This window comes from Homo sapiens, chromosome 2 (assembly GCF_000001405.40).
Source record: "Homo sapiens chromosome 2, GRCh38.p14 Primary Assembly".
Lineage (NCBI taxonomy): Eukaryota > Metazoa > Chordata > Mammalia > Primates > Hominidae > Homo > Homo sapiens.
The window spans coordinates 171,845,301-171,866,829 of record NC_000002.12 but is presented as its reverse complement, the minus strand read 5'-3'; the positions used below and the strand labels follow the sequence as shown (position 1 = coordinate 171,866,829).

At 40.1% G+C, this 21,529-nt stretch overlaps 1 protein-coding gene and 1 pseudogene across 3 annotated transcripts in view; both read left to right on the top strand.

Moving 5' to 3' along the window:
* Positions 1-21,529, top strand: part of SLC25A12 (solute carrier family 25 member 12) — a 110,840-nt gene that overhangs the window by 27,415 nt on the left and 61,896 nt on the right. The window contains exons 1-2 of one of the 3 annotated variants that reach the window (XM_047446142.1): positions 10,917-10,996; positions 18,554-18,657. The exons of 1 other annotated variant lie outside the window; for it this stretch is intronic. In XM_047446142.1, coding sequence (XP_047302098.1) covers positions 18,606-18,657 — 52 coding nt within the window. In that variant the 5' untranslated portion in view covers positions 10,917-10,996; positions 18,554-18,605. Of the gene's footprint in view, positions 1-10,880; positions 10,997-18,553; positions 18,658-21,529 lie in introns of those variants that run through there. One more of the 3 variants, NM_003705.5, reaches the window with a different exon arrangement.
* On the top strand, positions 10,160-10,264 carry RNU6-182P (RNA, U6 small nuclear 182, pseudogene; annotated as a pseudogene).

Below are 21,529 nucleotides of genomic sequence, written 5' to 3'. Positions count from 1 at the left end.
AGGGAGGTGGGGGTCAGCCCCCGCCAGGCCAGCCGCCCCGTCCGGGAGGGAGGTGGGGGGGGTCAGCCCCCCACCCGGCCAGCCGCCCCATCCGGGAGGTGAGGGGCGCCTCTGCCCGGCTGCCCCTACTGGGAAGTGAGGAGCCCCTCTGCACAGCCAGCCGCCCCGTTCGGGAGGGAGGTGGGGGGGTCAGCCCCCCGCCCGGCCAGCCGCCCCGTCCGGGAGGGAGGTGGGGGGGTCAGCCCCCCGCCCGGCCAGCCGCCCGGTTCGGGAGGTGAGGGGCGCCTCTGCCCGGCCGCCCCTACTGGGAAGTGAGGAGCCCCTCTGCCCGGCCAGCCACCCCGTCCGGGAGGGAGGTGGGGGGTCAGCCCCCTGCCCGGCCAGCCGCCCCGTCCGGGAGGTGAGGGGCGCCTCTGCCCGGCCGCCCCTACTGGGAAGTGAGGAGCCCCTCTGCCCGGCCACCACCCCGTCTGGGAGGTGTACCCAACAGCTCATTGAGAACGGGCCATGATGACAATGGCGGTTTTGTGGAATAGAAAGGGGGGAAAGGTGGGGAAAAGATTGAGAAATCGGATGGTTGCCGTGTCTGTGTAGAAAGAGGTAGACATGGGAGACTTTTCATTTTGTTCTGTACTAAGAAAAATTCTTATCCTGTTGATCTGTGACCTTACCCCCAACCCTGTGCTCTCTGAAACATGTGCTGTGTCCACTCAGGGTTAAATGGATTAAGGGCGGTGCAAGATGTGCTTTGTTAAACAGATGCTTGAAGGCAGCATGCTCGTTAAGAGTCATCACCACTCCCTAATCTCAAGTACCCAGGGACACAAACACTGCGGAAGGCCGCAGGGTCCTCTGCCTAGGAAAACCAGAGACCTTTGTTCACTTGTTTATCTGCTGACCTTCCCTCCACTATTGTCCTATGACCCTGCCAAATCCCCCTCTGCGAGAAACACCCAAGAATGATCAATTAAAAAAAATTTTTTTTTTGGAAAAATAATTGAAGCTTTATGTTGAAAAATATGAGGATGCCAGGCAAGTATTCCACTTTATAGGTCAAATTCTGAGCCAATAATTTTTAAACCACACTAACTGGAGATCCATGTTTTGTTTTGTTTTGGTCTACATTAAAAAAATATTTTATATATATGTATATAATATATATATTTTTTGAGATGGAGCCTTGCTCTGTTGGCCAGGCTGGAGTACAGTGGCATGATCTCAGCTCACTGCAACCTCCACCTCCTGGGTTCAAGTGATTCTCCTGCCTCAGTCTCCCAAGTAGCTGGGATTACAGATATGTGCCACCACACCTGGCTGATTTTTGTATTTTTAGGAGAGACAGGGTTTCACCATGTTGGCCAGGCTGATCTCGAACTCCTGACCTCAAGTGATCTGCCTGCCTCGGCCTCCCAAACTGCTGGGATTAGAGGTGTGAGCTACCATGCCCAGCCTTTAAAAATTGGTATATACTAGTTGTATAATTAAACTATATATTTTATTCAAAGTTTATAAAAATGGTGTTATTTACTGCGATTATCAAGGATACAGGCATTTCTTTTTTTCGAAAAAATATTTCACGGGAAAAGCCTCATTTTATGTTGAATAATCTGAGCAGAACGAGTTCCAAATAACCAAGTATATTTCTTCCATTCATTCAATAGGTATTGAGTGCCTGCTATGCCTCAGGTACTGTTCTTGGTGCTGGAATTATTAATATATCAGTGAAAAAGCCACAAAAAGATAATAAAAAAGTGAATTATGGTATGTTAGAAAGCTGTAAGTACTATGATGAAAAATAAATTAGGGGAGAGTTTAGGGAGTGATATTTATTAATTTATTTCTCTATTTATTTGGCAAACATTAATTGAACAGCCATTGTTTGTCAGGCACTGTTGGGCCTTACAAATACAAACATAAATTAAATGAGGCTTTTGGCCTTCAAAAGAAGGTAATAGCTTAGTGAGAAAGAAAATGACTAAACAAAGGAAAAAAGTAACACTTCTGAAATGAGGTGCTGTCATAGCTATATGAGAGGAATAGAGGGAACCCAAGAAAGCATGGTTAACTGTTTTGGGTGGTCAGGACAGCATCACAGAAGAGGTAATGCTTGAGTGAAATCTGGCAGGATGAGTACAAGCTTGTTAGTAGTTGGATAAGTAGGGACGAGAATTCCAGGAAAGGGAACAGGAACGGCATGAAACATTAAGGGGCGTGTGTGTGCGTGCGCATGTGCTCACATTAGTGAATGGCAATGGAGGAGGGTTGTGTTGCAAGTACTTTGATGTGGCTGTGGCATTGCTTTGTTGCTGGGGGAGATGTAGTTGGAGTGGCTGAAGGCTTTTGACTCTGTCTTGCAGGTATTTTTAGCCTGGTAGTGTATGGGTGTGTGAAAAGACAGAAATAACAAGGGGCATCTTGCTAGAGTGTCAGTTTACTCAACTCAGGGGAGAAAAGCAATCATTATTTGTATTAAAATCATATATGGCTGTATTATGGAGTGAATGTAATAGTTGCATGAATTAGATAAAGACAATTTTGGCTTGTTATGGCAGTTTCAGTCTACATCTCCAAGCCTCCAGGGCCTAGGCTCTTTCTCCTACCTGTTGAGGTGCTTGTGTGACAAACTTTGAGAAACTAGGCAGTAAGTAGTCTAAAAATTATTTCCATTACCACAGATGTAAACAGATTTTAGAAATGGTGGGTTGGAATGGGACAAGACTCGCATGCAATAGAATCAATTTAGGTAGCTATTGTAATAAAGTAGAAAGATTGGTGTCTAAGTTCTTTGAGTCCAGGATTAGTACTGTATTCAGTTTTATTGTCCCATAGAACCTTGCACAGTGTGTGAAATTTACTATGTGTTCAACAAATATTTGTTTTGGAAAGATTTTATATCATTTATAAATGGCAGGTATTGGGAAACTTGTATACCTTTTAGGTCTACTCTCTCAAAATATATCAACTGATAAATCACTGTGGATCATTCACTCATAGGATCTTTCAATAATGATTAGACAATAAAGCAAATGAAAATTAATTATACCTATCATAAGTCCTTCATCAGAATTATTAAAGGTAACATATATATTTAGCTCTTTTAGAAATTATCAGAGTATTTATTGTTAGTAATTTGGTCTAAGACCTGATTTCAGAATATCCATATATTTTCAAATGTTTCCTTTTATGACCATCTGCTCTATTCTATCTCAGTAGTGTATCTTCTTTGAAGCTTCATGTGGTTCTCCTAGGCTGAGTTGCATTGTTAAAGTAGGACATTTTCTTTTCTTTTTTTTTTTTTTTGTCGGAGACGGAGTCTCACTCTGACACCCAGGCTGGAGTGCAGTGGTGTGATCTCAGCTCACTGCAACCACTGCCTTCCGGGTTCAAGTGATTCTCCTGCCTCAGCCTCCCAAGTAGCTAGGATTATAGGTGCATGCCACCATGCTTGGCTAATTTTTGTGTTTTTAGTAGAGATGAGGTTTCACCATTTGGCCAGGCTTGTTGTCTCGAACTCCTGACCTTGTGATCTGCCCGCCTCGGTCTCCCAAAGAGCTGGGATTGCAGGCATAAGCCACCGCACCTGGCCCATTTTTCTTCTTATAATCATCTTTTTAAAAAGATATTCTCTACTGGGCACAGTGGCTCACACCTGTAATCTCAGCACTTTGGGAGGCTGAGGCGGGAGGATCGCTTGAGGCCAGGAGTTTGAGACCAGCTTGGACAACATGGTGAAACCCCATCTCTACACAATTAAAGAAAAAAATTAGCCAGTTGTGATGGTGTGTGCCTATAGCCTTAGCTACTTGGGAGAGTGAGGCAGGAGGATTGTTTGAGCCCAAGTGTTTGTGGCTGCAGTGAGCTATAACTGAGCCACTGCACTCCAGCCTGAGGGGCAAAATGTGAGATTCTGTCTTAACGAAAAAGAAAAAAGATATTCTCTTTTCTCCCTCTTTCTATTTTCTACCCCTTAACCCAGGGCAGTGATGAAATATTAGAATAGCTTACTTGGTACGTTGTTTCCTGCTCCAAAATGTGTTCCTTGGTTCTATCATAGTTTTCTGATGATGAGTCCTATAGATATGTTATGTGAAATAGCAACATATAATATTGCTTATAACCACTCAAGACCAAGTCTGAATGAGTGGAGCTAGTATAGACAAGTTCAAGTGATTTGGTTAAGTGTGTGAGAAAAATTGGTCTAGGAGTGGTTGAAACACGCTCTTTTGTGCTCTGCAATCCTTCCCCCATGTTTTCCGGGATGTTAACTGTTCCTCTCTCTTGTTCCCCATCTCCTTTCCCCCAGTAGATAGTAAAATAAGTAGGAGTGTTTGGATATGGGTGCTTGCTGTAGAAAGCCATGTAACATACAAAACAGCATTATATATTATAAATAGCACAATCAGTTGTCTAAAAGTAAAAGCCATTAGCCAAGTATTATTTGTGGGATTGTGGCTTAAACTTTGAAGTTCTGGTGTATAATGAAAAGCAAAATGATTTTATGCATTTAATGCAGATCTCAGAGACTATAATTGTGTGATCTAATCTAAAATATTTAGACTGTTGCTTACTTGAAATTGTAACTTCTAGAACCATAGTTTCTATATTTAGTCCTAGTCAGAATTTTATCTGGAGGTTCTGTTCTCCTGTGATGTAGAAAACTGGTGTTCTTTTCTTCTACTTTTTCCCCAAGTGTTTTCCTTTATGTTACACAGGCATATAGAGGAACCTTTTATGCAGAAATCTTGATTGTTTTACAAATTATAAAATTAACATTAATATTTTGTCATTTTATTAGTTCCTATTTACTAAATTAAAAAGGGGCTTCGTAGAAAATTTTTAAAAAACACACCAAATTCAGAAAATATATTTTTCAAAGTTATAAAATGAATACATGTTCTTTCTAAAAAGTCAGACAATGGGGTAATACGGTAAAGAGTGAAAGTACCTCCTTATCCCCATTACAAGGAAAACTAATAGAGTGTGAACTAATCAGTAGTTTCTTCACTCAACAGTTAGTAGCTTGTGGTTTGCATATATTCTATTAAAGTCTTGATTGGGCCCTTCTAGCAATAAAGGAATCCATGGCAGGATAAAAGGAAAAGGAGCCTTAAAAATATTCTGGAGCCAGGCATGGTGGTTCACACCTATGATCCCAGCACTTTGGGAGGCCAAGGCAGGAGGATCTCCTGAGGCTAGGAGTTCAAAACCAACCGGGGTAACATAGCAAAACCCCGTCTATACAAAAACATTTAAAAATTAACCGAGCATCCTGGTGCTTGTCTGTAGTCCCAGCTACTCAGGAGGCTGAGACAGGAGGATCACTTGAACCCAGGAGTTCTAGGTTACAGTGAGCTCTGATTGCACCATTGCTCTCCAGCTGGGAGACAGATTGAGACCTTGTTTCTTAAAATAAATAAATAAATAAAATTCTGGAACATGCTTGCTTTATGTTAGCATTGCAGACTATTTCTTGCTTTCAGAAAAATATTGTTGCATTATAATGCAGTAAGTATATAATGACTGTGGGCTTAAAATAGAGGAGAGTATCAGAGAGACTGTCAAGTGGCCTATTTTTCTCTCATTCCTCCCAACATTTTATTATGAAAATTTTCAAACATTCAAGAAAGTTGAAAGAATTTTATAGTGAACACCCATATATCTACCACCTAGACTACCACAGAGATTATATTATTATTATTATTTTATTATTTATTTTTATTTTTATTATTATTATTTTTGAGACAGGGTCCCACTCTGTTGCCCAGGCTGGAATGCAGTGGTGTGATCATGGCTTACTGCAGCCTCGACTTCCTGAGCTCAAATGATCCTCCCTACGTCAGCCTCCCAAATAGTTGGGACCACAGGCGCCTGCCTCATGCACAGCTAATTTTTATTTATTTTGGTATTTTTTGTAGAGATAGGGTCTTTCTATGTTGCTTAGGCTGGTCTTGAACTTTTGGGCTTAAGCAATCCTCCCCCTTTGGCCTTCCCAAGTGCTGGGATTACAGGCGTGAGCCACTGTACCTGGCCAGATTCTACTATTAACATCTGACTATTCTTGCTTTTTCATATATCCATCCATCCCTCTATCCTTCCATCAATCCATCTTTTTTTTAATACATTTCAGAGTAAAGTGCAGCCATTGATATAGTTCTTAAATATTTTAGCATGCACATTATTTACTAGTGTTTTTTGTTTTGAGGGTTTTTTGTTGTTGTTGTTTGTTGTGAGACAGAGTGTGTCTCTGTTACTCAGGCTGGAGTGCAGTGGCCCGATCTCGGCTCACTGCAACCTCTACCTCGCGGGTTCAAGCAATTCTCATACTTCAGCCACCCAAATAGCTGGGATTACAGGCATGTGCCACTATGCCAGGCTAATTTTTTTTGTATTTTTAGTAGAGATGGGGTTTCACCATGTTGGCCAGGCTGGTCTCAAACTCCTGACCTCAAGTGATCCACTGACCTCAAGTGATCCACCCGCCTCAGCCTCCCGAAGTGCTGGGATTACAGGTGTGAGTGACCATGCCCAGCCTTTGAGTGTTTTTCTTTAAATGTAGGACTCGCACATAGTAAGAAAACGTAAATCTCAAAAGTGTATTTGCTGAGCTTTGACAAATGTATGCACCTAGGTAACCTCAAGTGACTTTTTTTATCGTGTTAAAATATACATAATATAACATTTACCATTTTAATCATTTTTAAGTGGACAGTTCAGTGGCTTTAAGTGCATTCACATTGTTAGGCAACCATTATCATATCCAAGGCCAGGCGCAGTGGCTCATGGCTGTAATCCGAGCACTTTGGGAGGCCTAGGTGGGCGGATCACCTGAGGTTAGGAGTTCAAAATCAGCCATGGCTAACATGGTGGAACCCCGTTTTTACTAAAAATACAAAAATTAGCCTGGTGTGGTGGCACGCACCTGTAATCCCAGCTACTCAGGAGGCTGAAGCAGGAGAATTGCTTGAATCCAGGAGGTGGAGGCGGAGGTTGCAGTGGGCCGAGATCATGCCATTGCACTCCAGCTGGGGCAACAAGAGCAAAACTCCGTCTCAAAAAAAAAAAATTGTTGTATCCATTTGCAGAACGTTTTTATCATTCCATACTGAAACCCCATACCAATTACATAATGACTCCCCATTCTCTTTCCTTCCACTCCAACCAGCCCCTGATAACCAGTACTCCACTTATTGCTACTATTTTAGCTATCTCACATAGGTGGAACAATATAATATTTGTCCTTTTGTGTCTGCCTTATTTCATTTAGCATAATGTTTTCAAGGCACATCTATATTACAGCATATGTCAGAATTTCATTCCTTTTTAAGGCTGAATAATGTACTCAGTTGATTTATTTTTTAGAGATAGAGTCTCACTCTGTCACCCAGGCTGAAATGCAGTGGCACAATCACAGCTCATTGCAGCCTCGAACTTGTGGGCTCAAGCGATCCTCTTGCCCTGGCCTCCTGAGTAGCTAGGACTACAGGCATGTGTCACCATAACAGGCTGATTTTTGACTAATTTTTAAGTTGTTGGTGCTTTTGTGTATTTTCATGATACATCTGAATATATATCTCGTGATATATCTGAATATATCTGAAGGTAACTGAGTATTGAGGGATGGCTGAGTATTACCCCAATAGCTTCTTATAATAGTGGTCTACTTACTAATGCCAGATACTCTTTCTGGTTTTCAACTATAGCTTTAAAATTGGGAAAGGGTTAGGAGATATACAGTAATGGAAGAACACCAAATTGAAGGCAGGAGTTAGGAGTCTTTAAGTAGACTCACTGATTTGCTGAATGTCTTTGAGGAAGATCACTTAACGTTTGCCTTTCTAAGGGTCCTTCTGGCTCCAAAGTTGCATGAATATATGATTTGTCTTTTTGAATATGCTGACAGACAAAATGTAGATATTTAGTAAATTCCATAGACTTTCTATTTTAAACAAAGGGCTACTTAATTGGAAACCTATGTGACAAGAGTCTCAAATCCACAAGGACAGTGTGGTCTGTAGATAGATAACTGATGAGCCCTGTTTGGTTGCTTTTCTGAAGGAGAAAGACTGCTTGTCTTCAAGGGGCTGGTGCTACTTGGGACCGGAAACCTAGTGTTGTTCACACTTGCAGTTTATCAAAATAAACCAGAAAAACTGAGTATTTATGGGAAATCTTGTCATTTCTTAATGTCAACTAATGCAACTAAAAAACAGTACTTTGCATGCCAAAGAAAACACATCTTTGGACCAAATTCAGTCTGCCAGCTGATAGTTTGTGACCTTTGCTAGTTAAGGAAGAAGTTTTTGGCCTCTTCTCATAAATATAGAAGGTTTTACTACTGAGCATGAAATTTGTTTTAAAGCTACGTATTCTGTATTTCAGGGTAGGTGTATTTTTTATGTCTTGATGCTGTTTTGTAGAAACCAATATGTTATGCCTTTTTAAAGAAAACCCATAATCAGCCTATTTTTATTTTTAAAATTATTGGTCAGTCTGTTTTTTTCTTCCTCAAACAGAAATTGCATGAAAAATACACTATAGAAAATCCTTGTATCAATTAACACATTTTGAAATATATAGAGTAATTAACATTGGACAATCAAGGAAAGATTAGTTTCCTAGGAAAATACTTCATTGAAGACCAGTCTGCAGATCTGTATGCATATGAGACACATTTTTATAATGCTGTTACTTGGACACTCATTACTAATGAGCAGCAAGATGGTATGGAATCTTTGTAGCAAGCTTGCTATGAAAGATCTAGTATATGCTGGCTTTGTAAGGTCACTGAAGGCAATTTCTGTGTAGTTTTGACCACTGGTTAATTTTATAACCTTGAGTATAATAGGACTCATTAAGTTCTAGAAACCCAACATATGAGTTTCCCCCACTTTTTGTTAAGTTTTGTTTTGTTTTGTTTTGAAATGGGTCTCACTTGGGTCTCACTCTGTTACCCAGGCTGGAGTGCAGTGGCTATTCACAGGCACCAGCATTGCATACTACAGCCTTGAACTCCTGGGCTCAAGTGATCCTCATGCCTCATCCTTTTGAGTAGCTGGGACTACAGGTTCATGACATTGCACCTGGCTCCCACCTTTTTTGTTTTGATTTTTCCTTTTAACATTTTTATTTAAAAAAAATTTTTTTTTAAACAGGGTCTGGCTCTGTTACCCAGGCTGGAGTACAGTGGCACAATCTTGGCTCACTGCAACCTCTGCCTCCTGGGCTTAAACTGTCCTCCCACTTCAGCCTCCCAAGTAGTTGGTACTACAGGTACACACCACCACACCTGGCTAATTTTTGTATTTTTTGTAGAGATGGGGTTTCACCATATTGCCTAAGCTGCTCTTGAACTCCTGAGCTCAAGTGATCTGCCTGCCTCAGCCTCCCAAAGTGCTGGCATTACAGGCGTGAGCTACTGTGCCCTGCCTCTAAAAGTTTTATTTTAATTTAATTATTTATTGAGACAGAGTCTGGTCTGTCGCCCAGGCTGGAGTGCGGTAGCATGATCATGGCTTATTACAGCCTCTACTTCCTGGGCTCAAGCAATCCTCCCACCTCAGCCTCCTGAGTTGTTGGGATTACAGGTGTGTGCCACCATGCCCAGCTAATTTTTTATTTTTACTTTTTGTAGAGGTGGAGTCTCCCTATGTTGCCCAGGTTGGTCTTAAACTCCTGGACTCAAGCAATCCTCCTGCCTCAGCCTCCCAAAGTGCTGGGATTACAGATGTGAGCCACTGTGCCTGGCCAAAATTTTTATTAGTGATGTTTCAAACATGTATAACACAGAGAATAATGTAAATTCTATGAATTCATCACCTACTTTTAATCATTACCAAAATAATTATTTCGTTTATACCTCCATCTCTTCTCCATCCTCTGGATTATTTTGAAGCAAACTCTAGATGATGTATTTCATTTGTAAGTGTCTCACTGTGTATCTCTAAAAGATAATGCTTAACAACAACCAAAAAAACCTCCTAGAAACATTGATTTCTTAATATCATCAAGCATTTGTATTATATTGGTATTTCCATTTCCCGGATTATCTTGTAAATTAAAAAACTTTTTTTTTTTACTTTGTTTAAATTGGAATCCAAATAAGGATGTATATTGTGATTCATTGTTATATCTCTTAGGTCTTTTAAGATTGAGATTCCCTGTGCTTGCCTCAGCAGCACATATAATAAAATTGGAATGATACAGAGATTAGCATGGCCCCTTAAAAAAAAGAAGAATCCTCTTCATAGCTTCATTAAAAATTATTTTTCTGCAGCTATGGAATGTTTCTTCTGTCATTTCCTACAGTCTGCATTTATGTGGTGGTAGTGAACATGTTCCTTTGTTTGTTGTGTTTTCTGTAAATTAGTGAATAGTTCTAGAGCAGTGGTTCTCAATAGGGGTGATTTTGCTCACCAGGGTATATTTGGCAATGTCTGGAGACATTTTTGCTGGTCACAACTTGGGGATGCTATTGGCATCTAGTGGGTAGAGGCCAGGGATGCTGCTAAACATGCTACAAAGCACAGGAAACCCCCACAACAAAGAATTATCCAACTTAAAATGTCACCAGTACTGAGGTTGAGAAACTGATCCAGAGACTTGATCAGATTCAGGTTTAATTATATTTTGCCTGGTTCTCTCTCTTCATGATGTTAGGAGCTATTGATTATTGCCCAGTTTCATTGATTTTCTAGGGGCTTACAAAAGGGTGATATTCTAATTCTCCTTTCCTTCCTTATCTGAAGTACCTCTATAAAAACAAACTACCCTTTATCAATTATTTGGTTACCCTGAGCTACAGTTTATATAGTAAAGGCAGATTAAATGCCTGATGCTTTCCCTTTCTTCACCAGCCAATGACGTTTTATATTTTATTCCAGGTTGATCTCCTATCAAGAGTTTTTGGCATTTGAATCTGTTTTATGTGCTCCAGATTCCATGTTCATAGTGGCTTTCCAGTTGTTTGACAAGAGTGGAAATGGAGAGGTGACATTTGGTAAGGGAAAAAGAAGATTATAAGTGATAAGTTAATGATGCTGGTCCAGTCTTCAATTGCTGAATCTAGTAACTAATATAGATTACTGCTTATTTGGGATCTGACCCATAATTGAATTTCCTAAAAGGATTTATGCAGATAATGATGGCTTTATTTTTTCAAAGCATTAAACTGTTGCCAAAGATGAAGAAGTGTAGTAATGCTGTTGCTTTAGCTCATTGAGTCACTGACACTTTACATTCCTAAAATAAATGGTGTAAGATTTTCTTGTTCTGGGCCAGCCTGGGCAAAATTCCTTACAAGGTCGATTTTGAACAACATGAAACAATTTTCTCATTCTTTAAGTGATTTTTAGATAGGGAGTTCAGAGCTTCTCTTGTAGCATCCTTGGAAAATTGCTACTATGTCATTGTAACACCAAGAATGGAACCGAAGGAGGATATCAAGGCAAAATTAGTGTTCTCTGAACCTGAATTTTAGATTTCAGTTTTAGGAAAGAGGCTAGAATATTAAAATTGCCATCTGACATGAATGTAGAAATTTATTTAAATCCTCTAGTAGACACAAAATCTAACACACTGTTGATGTTTCACAGGTGTATACACTAGGATTTTTATTTGTAACCATATATTAAAGATACTTTTTTACAGAAATTAGTATATGTTTAGTAAAAGTATTGGCTAATTTTTCTTGCAACAATTTTTTCAATAAAAGCCATGTAGTAGTTCAAGGACCTTGAGCACTGCCCCCACCTTTTTAAAGATTGCCACTGTTTTTGTTGTGGCAAAAAACACAAGATAAAATTACTACTATCTTAATGATTTTAAATGTACAGTTTAGTAGTATTAAGTATATCCACAACGTTGTGAAAGACATCTCCAGAAATTTCTCATCTTGCAAAATTAAACTTAAGCCCCCTTTTATAGTGTGAATTGGCATGGATATTTGTAGAAACACCCTTGAAAATCAGGCTTTCCCTGAGCTATGGCATTAAACACTTATTCACTATTGTGTTTGAGTTATAAAATAGATGTCCTTTAGTTAAACTTGAAGGAAAAATTATCACTGCAATGGTCAAAGTGGTGAGAAAGTACAGGTCAGTCAATCAGAAGGATCAGTAGTGCCTTGGCTGTAATTTTGGTGGACACATTTTCTAGCGTGACATTGATTGTTTTCTTCTTCCTTCTGCCCATTGACTCAACTATCTTCTGTATGAGAAGACTTTCCAAAAAAATGCTATGCAGAGTTTTTTGTTTTGTTTTTTTTTGAGACGGAGTCTTGCTCTGTCGCCCAGACTGGATTGTAATGGCGTGATCTTGGCTCACGGCAACCCCTGCCTCCCGGGTTCAAGTGATTCTCCTGCCTCAGCCTCCCGAATAGCTGGGATTACAGGCATGCGCCACCATGCCCAGCTAATTTTTGTATTCTTAGTGGAGATGGGGTTTTACCATGTTGGCCAGGCTGGTCTCGAACAGTTGACCTCATGATCCGTCTGTCTCGGCCTCCCAAAGTGCTGGGATTACAGGCCTGAGCCACCGCGCCTGGCCTGCTATGCAGAGTTATTTAGATTTTTGCATATAAATCTTGGCATCCTCCTCCTTTGGAGCAAGCTTCGACCATCTTGCCTCCTGAAGAATGTTGACTTTCCTCAGAAACACCTAGATTCTGTAGTTTAAGGCACAAACCCTCCATCATCTCATTCAGCATTAACCATGCACTACTAGTAATGCTGCATTTTCTATTTTCAGTAGGTATCACACATGCTCACATATCTCACAAATGTGATGCAGAAATGCTTGGAAAATAACTGGATTCAGATGTCTGAGTTAGTGACAGTGCCCTGTGCTTATATCCTGTGTGCATTAAGAATTAGATCTCACAATCAAATTCTAATTTTTGTCCCTCTACCTTGATATCATGGTTCTTTGTGTCTCCTCCATTTAATTACTTTTCCCAGTTTCGATTATTATAAAATTAGTAACTCAAGCCACTTCATCCAACAGACTGTCAAGACCAACTTAACAATAAGACACATGCCATTGTTGATAAATAGATTAAAATGAGTGTAGGAAGTAGCTAAGTTTATATATGCCTTATTTAATGTAAATGAAAGCTTGTAGTCATTAGATCTCAACTTTAGTTTTTTTTTTTTGGAGGTGGAGCCTCACTCTGTCACCCAGGCTGGAGTGCAGTGGCGTGATCTTGGCTCACTGCAACCTCTGCCTCCTGGGTTCAAGCGATTCTTCTGCTTCAGCTTCCCGAGTACCTGGGATTACAGGCACCTGTCACCACGCCTCGCTAATTTTTGTATTTTTAGTAGAGACGGGGCTTCGCCCATGTTGGTCAGGCTGGCCAGTCTCAAACTCCTGACCTCAGGTAATCTGCCCACCTCGGCCTCCCAAAGTGCTGAGATTACAGGCGTGAGCCACTGCACCCAGCCAACTTTAGCTTTTTATAGGTCTTCTGTTTTTCTTTCAAACTATGATTTATGAATTAGAATTTTTAGAAATATAGTTAGGATTAAACACAAACCAGTTTTAGTTTTTACGGTACCAGGTATAAACTGAAGAACATATGAGCCCTCAAGAATCTTGCTTTCATTCTTTTCCTCCATAATCTAGAGACAGGAATATTATTATGGAATAAGAAAAAGATGAAGCCAGGTGCAGTGGCGCATACCTGTAGTCTCAACTCCCAAAGGAGTGATTTCAGCTCCTCGGGAGGCTGAAATGGGAGGATCTCTTGAGCCCAGAGTTTGAGGCCAGCTTGCACAACATAGTGATACCCAGTCTCTAAAAAATTTAAAACATTTTTTAAAAGCTGTACCCTGTTTCTGTTCTGGATTCCCTGGCTAGCTGGTTGGCTCTTTTGATGGTGCTCACCTATTTCCTAAGGACTTTGACCATTTCACCTTCTGTCCCTGCCTTCCTAGTTTTAAGGATCCACTTTGAGACAAATTTTCTTAAGTAGAATGAGAGAAATGATAAAAGAAAGTTTCCTTTCATATTTTTAAGAGGGAAAATATTGAAACTGTTGTAGCAAATGCCATTTAACAAGATTTCTAGGCACTGCTTATTTCAAGCCATATTCAAGACTACAGAATTTATGCATAAGGAAGTAATTAACTTCGAGTTTATTTTTATAGGATTTTGGATCTGGGGTAAAGGTCAGTTTTCATGTTTGTAACCACTTAATAAAATGAATTGTGCTTATGTATTTATAGGCACATGTTTAGGTAAAAGGAAATTTTAGATCCATTCTAAATAGAGTTAAATCCTTTTCACCAAATGGCCTTCTGTTTTCTAGTTTGGAGCTATTTATAGTTTTCTCTTGTGCACATGAGAGAAAGTTGGAAGACAATATTAGCTGCAATGTGTAAGGAAGTGGAGAAAACCTGTTATGCTATCAGCATCTCTTGTAGACTATGATGATAATGTTATCTGTGTACTTGTATATATTCTCATTTATGCTTTTTTTAGATATGATTTTATACACATCAAATTATATACTTAAACTGTGTGCATCTTTGCAAGTATTTATATAAGTAGTAATATTGAACATTTACTTGAGTGTTTATATAAGGTTTTTTGTTGTTAAAGATACCTCTGCTCTGGGGAGAGGACTTAGATTGAGGCCTTGGAAATCCATTTCAGAACGTGAAAACTCAGGAAAGGGTTCTGGAGTTTTTTTAAGAGTGAATAAAATATTAGTTAATTGTTTCCTCTTTGATGTTTCTTTAATAAAACTTCTAATGCATGCCGTGGATAATTACTTAATGGTTTGTATATCTGTTACTGTCAGGTGGCATGAGCCTTGTAGAGGCTATTGCATGACTGGTGTGTGCTAGCTACAGTGTAAGTTTGCCTTGGTCTCACCATTGTCCACAAGTGTACTGGAGATCCTGTTCAGTACTATTAGATTCAGGTAACCTAGATAAGCAGTTATACTACATTGTGTTGTCAGTAGCTGCCATGCATTTAAAATCCAAATTGAAAAAAAGGCCGGGAGCAGTGACTCATGTCTGTAATCCCAGCAGTTTGGGAGGCTGAGGTGGGCAGACTGCTTGAGCCCAGGAGTTCAAGACCAGCACGGGTGACATGGTGAAACCCCATCTCTACTAAAAACACAAAAATTAGCCGGGTGTGGTGGCACATGCCTGTAGTCCCAGCTACTCGGGAGGCTGAGGTAGGAGGATTACTTGAGCCTGGGAGGTGGAGGTTGCAATGAGTTGAGATTGTGCCATTACACTCTAGCCTGGGTAACCGGAGTGAAACCCTGTCTCAAATGAAAAAAAGGCCTATTGCCTTACTAAAGATTTAATCCTTTTTTTTTTTTTTTTTTAAGGGGCCAGGCGCAGTGGCTCACGCCTGTAATCCCAGCACTTTGGGAGGCCAAGGCAGGAGGATCACAAGGTCAGGAGTTTGAGACCAGCCTGGCCAACAGGGTGAAACCCTGTCTCTACTAAAAATACAAAAATTAGCCGGGCGTGGTGGGCACCTGTAATCCCAGTTACTTGGGAGGCTGAGGCAGGAGAATAGTTTGAAACCAGAAGGTGGAGGTTGCAGTGAGCTGAGATTGCGCCACTGCACTCCAGCCTGGGTGAAAGAGTGCAACTCCGTCTCCAAAAAAAAAAACAAACAAGAAAAAACCACAACAAACTGTTGTCTGTTAACTAACAAAATGAGTATGAAACATGTTATATGTTCTGAGTTCTCTATTAACATCAACATTGTGTTCCAAATTTGGTGTTTGCCTAGGAATGGACACTCTTCAAAGTAAACTTTTCCAAGGACACATCCTCACCCTCTGACTGAAGAAACCTCAAAAAGCAGAGATTCCTTTAAATGTAGTACTATGTTTGACCATTAATACATATAGCAAATAAAAATGTGTTCCATTTGTGCCTCTGAAATAGGCTGTTTTTCCCTGAAGGAGAGAATAAATTGGGATGGGTTAGGCACAACCACTGTTATTATTTTAAAGAGCCAGGAGATGGAAGTGTAGTTATGAAAAATGTACCCTTTCTCACTGGAAACAAAGCTATAGACATGCAATAATATGAAGTTCTATGGTGGCCAGGTGCAGTGGCTCACGCCTGTAATCCCAGCACTTTGGGAGGCCGAGGCGGGAGGATCACCTGAGGTCAGGAGTTCAAGACCAGCCTGGCTGGGCCGGGTGCAGTGGCTCATGCCTGTAATCCCAGCACTTTGGGAGGCCGAGGCGGGTGGATCACAAGATCAGGAGTTTGAGACCAGCCTGGCCAATATGGACCAGCCTGGCCAATATGGTGAAACCCCATCTCTACTAAAAATACAAACAAATTAGCCGGGCATGGTGGTGCATGCCTGTAATCCCAGCTACTTGGGAGGCTGAGGCAGAAGAATTGCTTGAACCCAGGAGGTGGAGGTTGCAGTGAGCCAAGATCAGGCCACTGCACTGCAGCCTGGGCGACAGAGCAAGACTCCATCTCAAAAAAAAAAAAAAAAAAAAAAAAAACAAAGACCAGCCTGGCCAACATGGTGAAACCCTGTCTCTAGCAAAAATACAAAAATTAGCCGGGCGTGGTGGCATGTGCCTGTAATCTCAGCTACTTGGGAGGCTGAGGCAGGAGAATTGCTTGAATCTGGGAGGCAGAGGCTATAGTGAGCCAAGATCATGCCACTGCATTCCAGCCTGGGTGACACAGTAAGACTCCATACCCCCACCCCCAAAAAAAGGGAATTCTATGGCGGCCAGGCATGGTGGCTCTTGCCTATAATCCCAGTACTTTGGGAGGCCGAGGCAGGAGGATCACTTGAGGCCAAGAGTTCAAGACCAGCCTGGGCAACATGGTGAAACCCTGTCTTTACTAAAAATACAAAAAAATTAGCCAGTTATGGTGGTATGCACCTGTAATCCCAGCTACTTGGGAGGCTGAGGTGGGATAATCTCTTGAACCTGGGAGGCAGAGGTTGCAGTGAGCCAAGATCACGCCACTGGGCCGGGCACGGTGGCTCACGCCTGTAATCTCAGCACTTTGGGAGGCCGAGGCGGGTGGATCACGAGGTCAGGAGATCGAGACCATCCTGGCTAATACGGTGAAACCCTGTCTCTACTAAAAATACAAAAAAATTAGCTGGGCATGGTGGCGGATGCCTGTAGTCCCAGCTACTTGGGAGGCTCACGAATGGCGTGAACCCGGGAGGCTGAGGTCAGTGAGCTGAGATTGTGCCACTGCACCACTCCAGCCTGGGCAACAGAGCAAAACTCCGTCTCAAAAAAAAAAAAAAAAAAAAGATCACACCACTGACTTCAGCCTGCGTGACAGACAAAGACTTTCATAAAAAGAAATGAAAATTCTATGATAATAAATATATAGCTTAATTTGGTAAGAAGTAGAGCTTCACCTGAGTATTCAAATTAAATCAGGAAGATTTTTTGATTTTTTTTTTTCTTGGTGTTGCTTTCGGATATTGCAGAGAAGTTTTTTGTTTTTTGCTTTTTTTTTTAGTACTCAAGGCTATTAGAGTAGCTTAAGAGTTCAAGGTGAAAGAAAAGGTGGAGTGTTATTAGTTTTTATGCTGTTTGATGATAGACTGTTGAAGTGTCTAGCTTCAATAATAATAGTATGTATGTATGTATGTATGTATTTATTTATTAATTTTGAGACACGGTCTTGCTGTGTCGCCCAGGGTGGAGTGCAGTGGTGTGATCTCGGCTCACTGCAACCTCCACCTCCTGGGTTCTAGTGATCCTTCTGCCTCAGCTTCCCTAGTAGCTGGACTACAGGCATGTGCCACCACGCCCAACTAATTTTTTCTATTTTTAGTAGAGACAGGGTTTTACCATGTTGGCCAGGCTGGTCTCAAACTTCTAACCTCAGGTGATCCACCTGCCTTGGCCTCCCAAAGTGCTGGGATTATAGGCGTGAGCCACCACGCCCAACCGATAGTCTTTAAATATGAACTCATCTTTCCTGAGAAATGGACCTTTACATATATTTGACAGCAGGACTACTCTATTGACTGTGCAGTAGTCCCTTCTAGAGGTAGGTAAAGGGCTAATAGAAATACTTTCTCTCAGAGAAACAGGAGGTCATTCAGGAAACTAATGACCATCTGAGAGGAGAACCCAGAAGTCTGGGACTGAGTCTACATGCCATGTTGGTTGGGACTTCCTCTACAAGTTCCTGTTGTTGGTCTTTTTGTTGTTGTTGTTTGTTTTCCTTTGTTTTCTTTTTTGGCTTCCCAGTTGTTCCTCCTCTTTCCTCCCAATTTTTCCTTCACTGAAAAACTCTTCACTTCTACAAGTCTCACCATTGTTTTTGTTCAGCTATGTACAAGGATATTCACCATTCATGGTGGGAGTCCTAAAAACCTCTCTGACTTCACTTTAAGAACTGTGCAGGTGAAATTCAGCTACTGAGGAACTTTTCCCCCTGACAATAAGAATGTTTGGTCTCAAGCCTATAAGTTGGTTGTAGTGGCTCCTGCTGGGCTGGAATCCTTGGAATAAGGATGTCGTTGGGCTGATGGTAGGTGGGCTGTGTCACAGGGCTGATGGCTTGTATACCTACAGGAGGAGTTCTCTGGCCACACCGTTGGTACAGCAGCTCCTTCCAGGCTCATTCATGGAACAGGCATGGTGGCAGTCTTGGAGAAGAGTGCCAGCCCCGGTCAGAGGTAATTTTGTACTGCAGAAAGGTGAACAAGACCAGTAGGAAGTGCCCATAAGAACCAGGGGAGGGATGAGGGTGGATGAGATGGGGAGACACAGTATGGGTTTCTGGGGAAATTAAAACCTCTGTTAAGACATATTTACATAATATATATGATTTAATGTGTATTTCATCTAGTCCAATCATCATAAGTGACTGATACAGCTAAACTGACTAATGTTACACATCTGTGAACATTTTTACTTAATCACAGTTGTCACCGTTACCTGCTCTCCTGACAAATCATTGTGCTCCTCTCCTTTGAGCAAAGAGAACATAATGACAGGCTACTTTTGTATTTAGCCCCAGTTCCCTTTTCAATGGAAGTATAAACCATCCCTTTCATAAGCCCATGCTCTGCAGGAAGTGAAAAAGTTGTCTTTTGTTTTCTATATGTCAGAAAACTAATGGATTCCTGGTTCTCTTAGCTATGCCAACCTAGTATAAAATACTATATCGTGATTTTGCTGCCAATAAGATGTGACTGTCATTTCCCTTTCTTCCAGGCCAGAACTATGCTACAGAAATAGCATTCTTAAACATGGCAAAAAAAAGATCCTTGTTTGCCACTGGAAAGATGGGATTCTCTCTGGGGGTGGGTGGAACTTGCTATACAGTTTCAGTTAGATGTATTTGGTATATTTGAGACTATTGGTGTTCCCTTTCATGTCACGCAGGACCTGATAAAGCTGGGTAACATAAAAACACCAGCTGTTTGAGTTATTACCTCATACAAGCATAAGCTCTCCAGTTCTGGAGCTTTTATATAATTTTATTTATCACATTCTGATAAAAGTAAAGTGGCAATTTATGAATTGGACTTGAAAACAATAGTTCTACTAATTATTTCTGTGTATCTGAATCAGTCTCAGGCACTTGGTAGTAGAAACAATGATAACAGAAGAGAAGTAGAATACATCTCCAGAAGTGCCAAAGTAGGTTTGTAATCTTATTAGTTCTAGTAATTATAGTAGTCCATGATGTGTCTTAAAAAAACCCTAAAAGTGTCAGAGTAAATAAACCACAGCATATAATAATGATCATAACAAAACCATATATAAAGCTGTCAAGTGACCACTTTGGGAGAAGTAGAAAATGTCCAAATACTCATGGAAAATGACACTTCTGTATTTGGGGAGATCACTATGACTAATTTAGACCATCATTTTAATTGTTTCAGAGACATTCTAAGATCTTATTTAGAGATGGCTAAGAAGTTTATGAAATAGGATATCTAAAGTTTTTATTACAGAGATATTTTCCAGATGTAAATTATACATTATAAATTTAGTTCATAAATATCCTTTTTGTGATAATAGAAACTTTTTTTTCGAGACAGAGCCTTGCTCTGTCACCCAGGCTGGAGTGCAGTGGCGCAATCTTGGCTCACTGCAACCTCCGCCTCCCGAGTTCAAGCAATTCTCCTGCCTCAGCCTCCTGAGTAGATGGGATTACAGGCATGTGCCACCATGCCTGGCTTATTTTTGTATTTTTAGTAGAGACGGAGTTTCACTATGGGGACCAGGTTGGTCTCTGACTCCTGACCTCGTGATCTGCCTGCCTTGGCCTCCCAAAGTGCTAGGATTACAGGTGTGAGCCACTGTGCCCAGCCAAAAAAATTTTTATAGATAATTGAATTTTCTTAGCTTGAACGCTTTTGCATTTTGGACTTTATTTTACATAGTTTCATATTTGAGATTCTGATATTTTCTTATTATATAAAAGGGATTCAATTTCATTCTACCATTATATAAGAATTATCTAGGTAGTAATATATACATTTATTATCAAATAATTATATTTTAACTCTTGAAATAACCTTTAAAAGGTTACCATGAAATAACTATTCCCTTTAATAATTGTAATGTTACTTAATTAAATATAGTAATTTGTTCTAATTTGCTTTCCATTTTTAATTTTTTTTAACTTGAAGATGAAACACTTCTTTTTGTTAGACCTTAAAAGTAAGAAATTAATTAATTTGGGACTAGAAACAGCTAATTAATTAAGTTAGATCCTAAAAATCTTTAATAATCTGCTACAATATTTGTAGCCCTAAATATTTTCTGCTATCTTTATTATTTTAATTGTTTTGTAAACTTTAACATATTTTACAACTTCGAAGTTTCACATAGATTTAAGGATCATCTTTTGTGTTGGTTAGAAACCAGGATCCCACAAATTGCTATTGGGTTAATTCTTTGCTTTTTAAATTTGTATTTATGTAAGGTGAAAACGCTTGACCTATTGAAAACTTTGAAGTATTTGTCCCTACTTAGGGAAGAAATGAATCCTGCATTCCATTTCAAAGAAAAGATGAGAATCCCATCTCCCCAGTGACATCCAATGCCTTCTTCCAACTTTGCTGATTGCTGCAATCTATTCAGAGCTATTATATTGACTCTAGACTGGTAGAACGTCCAGTTCAGAATTCTTACATTCCCCTATCCCAGTAGTAATGCTTTTATTAAGAAAAAGTGTATGTATATAAAACTAAAGGGAATCCATTAAACCATTTACAATATGAGATCAGTATCTTATTTAAAGAATTTGCAGAAATTAGAGAAAACAGCATAGTTGGAGATTATAAAACTTTAAATGTGTATTTACTAATTCTCTAGTATAACTGATAGCTATCGATGGCAAAACTCTTTCACTAATAAAATTGGCTGAAATTTGAAAATAATTTTGTTCTTAAGACATCAGTTAAACAGGCTTCCTGCTTTCTTAACTTTGTTCATGATTTTTTTTTTTTGGCATGAGCTTCTAAATTAGTTTATCCAGTCTATGCTTGTTAAAGTACCAGTCATTTGTGAATTGACTTTTATAGTAAGTAT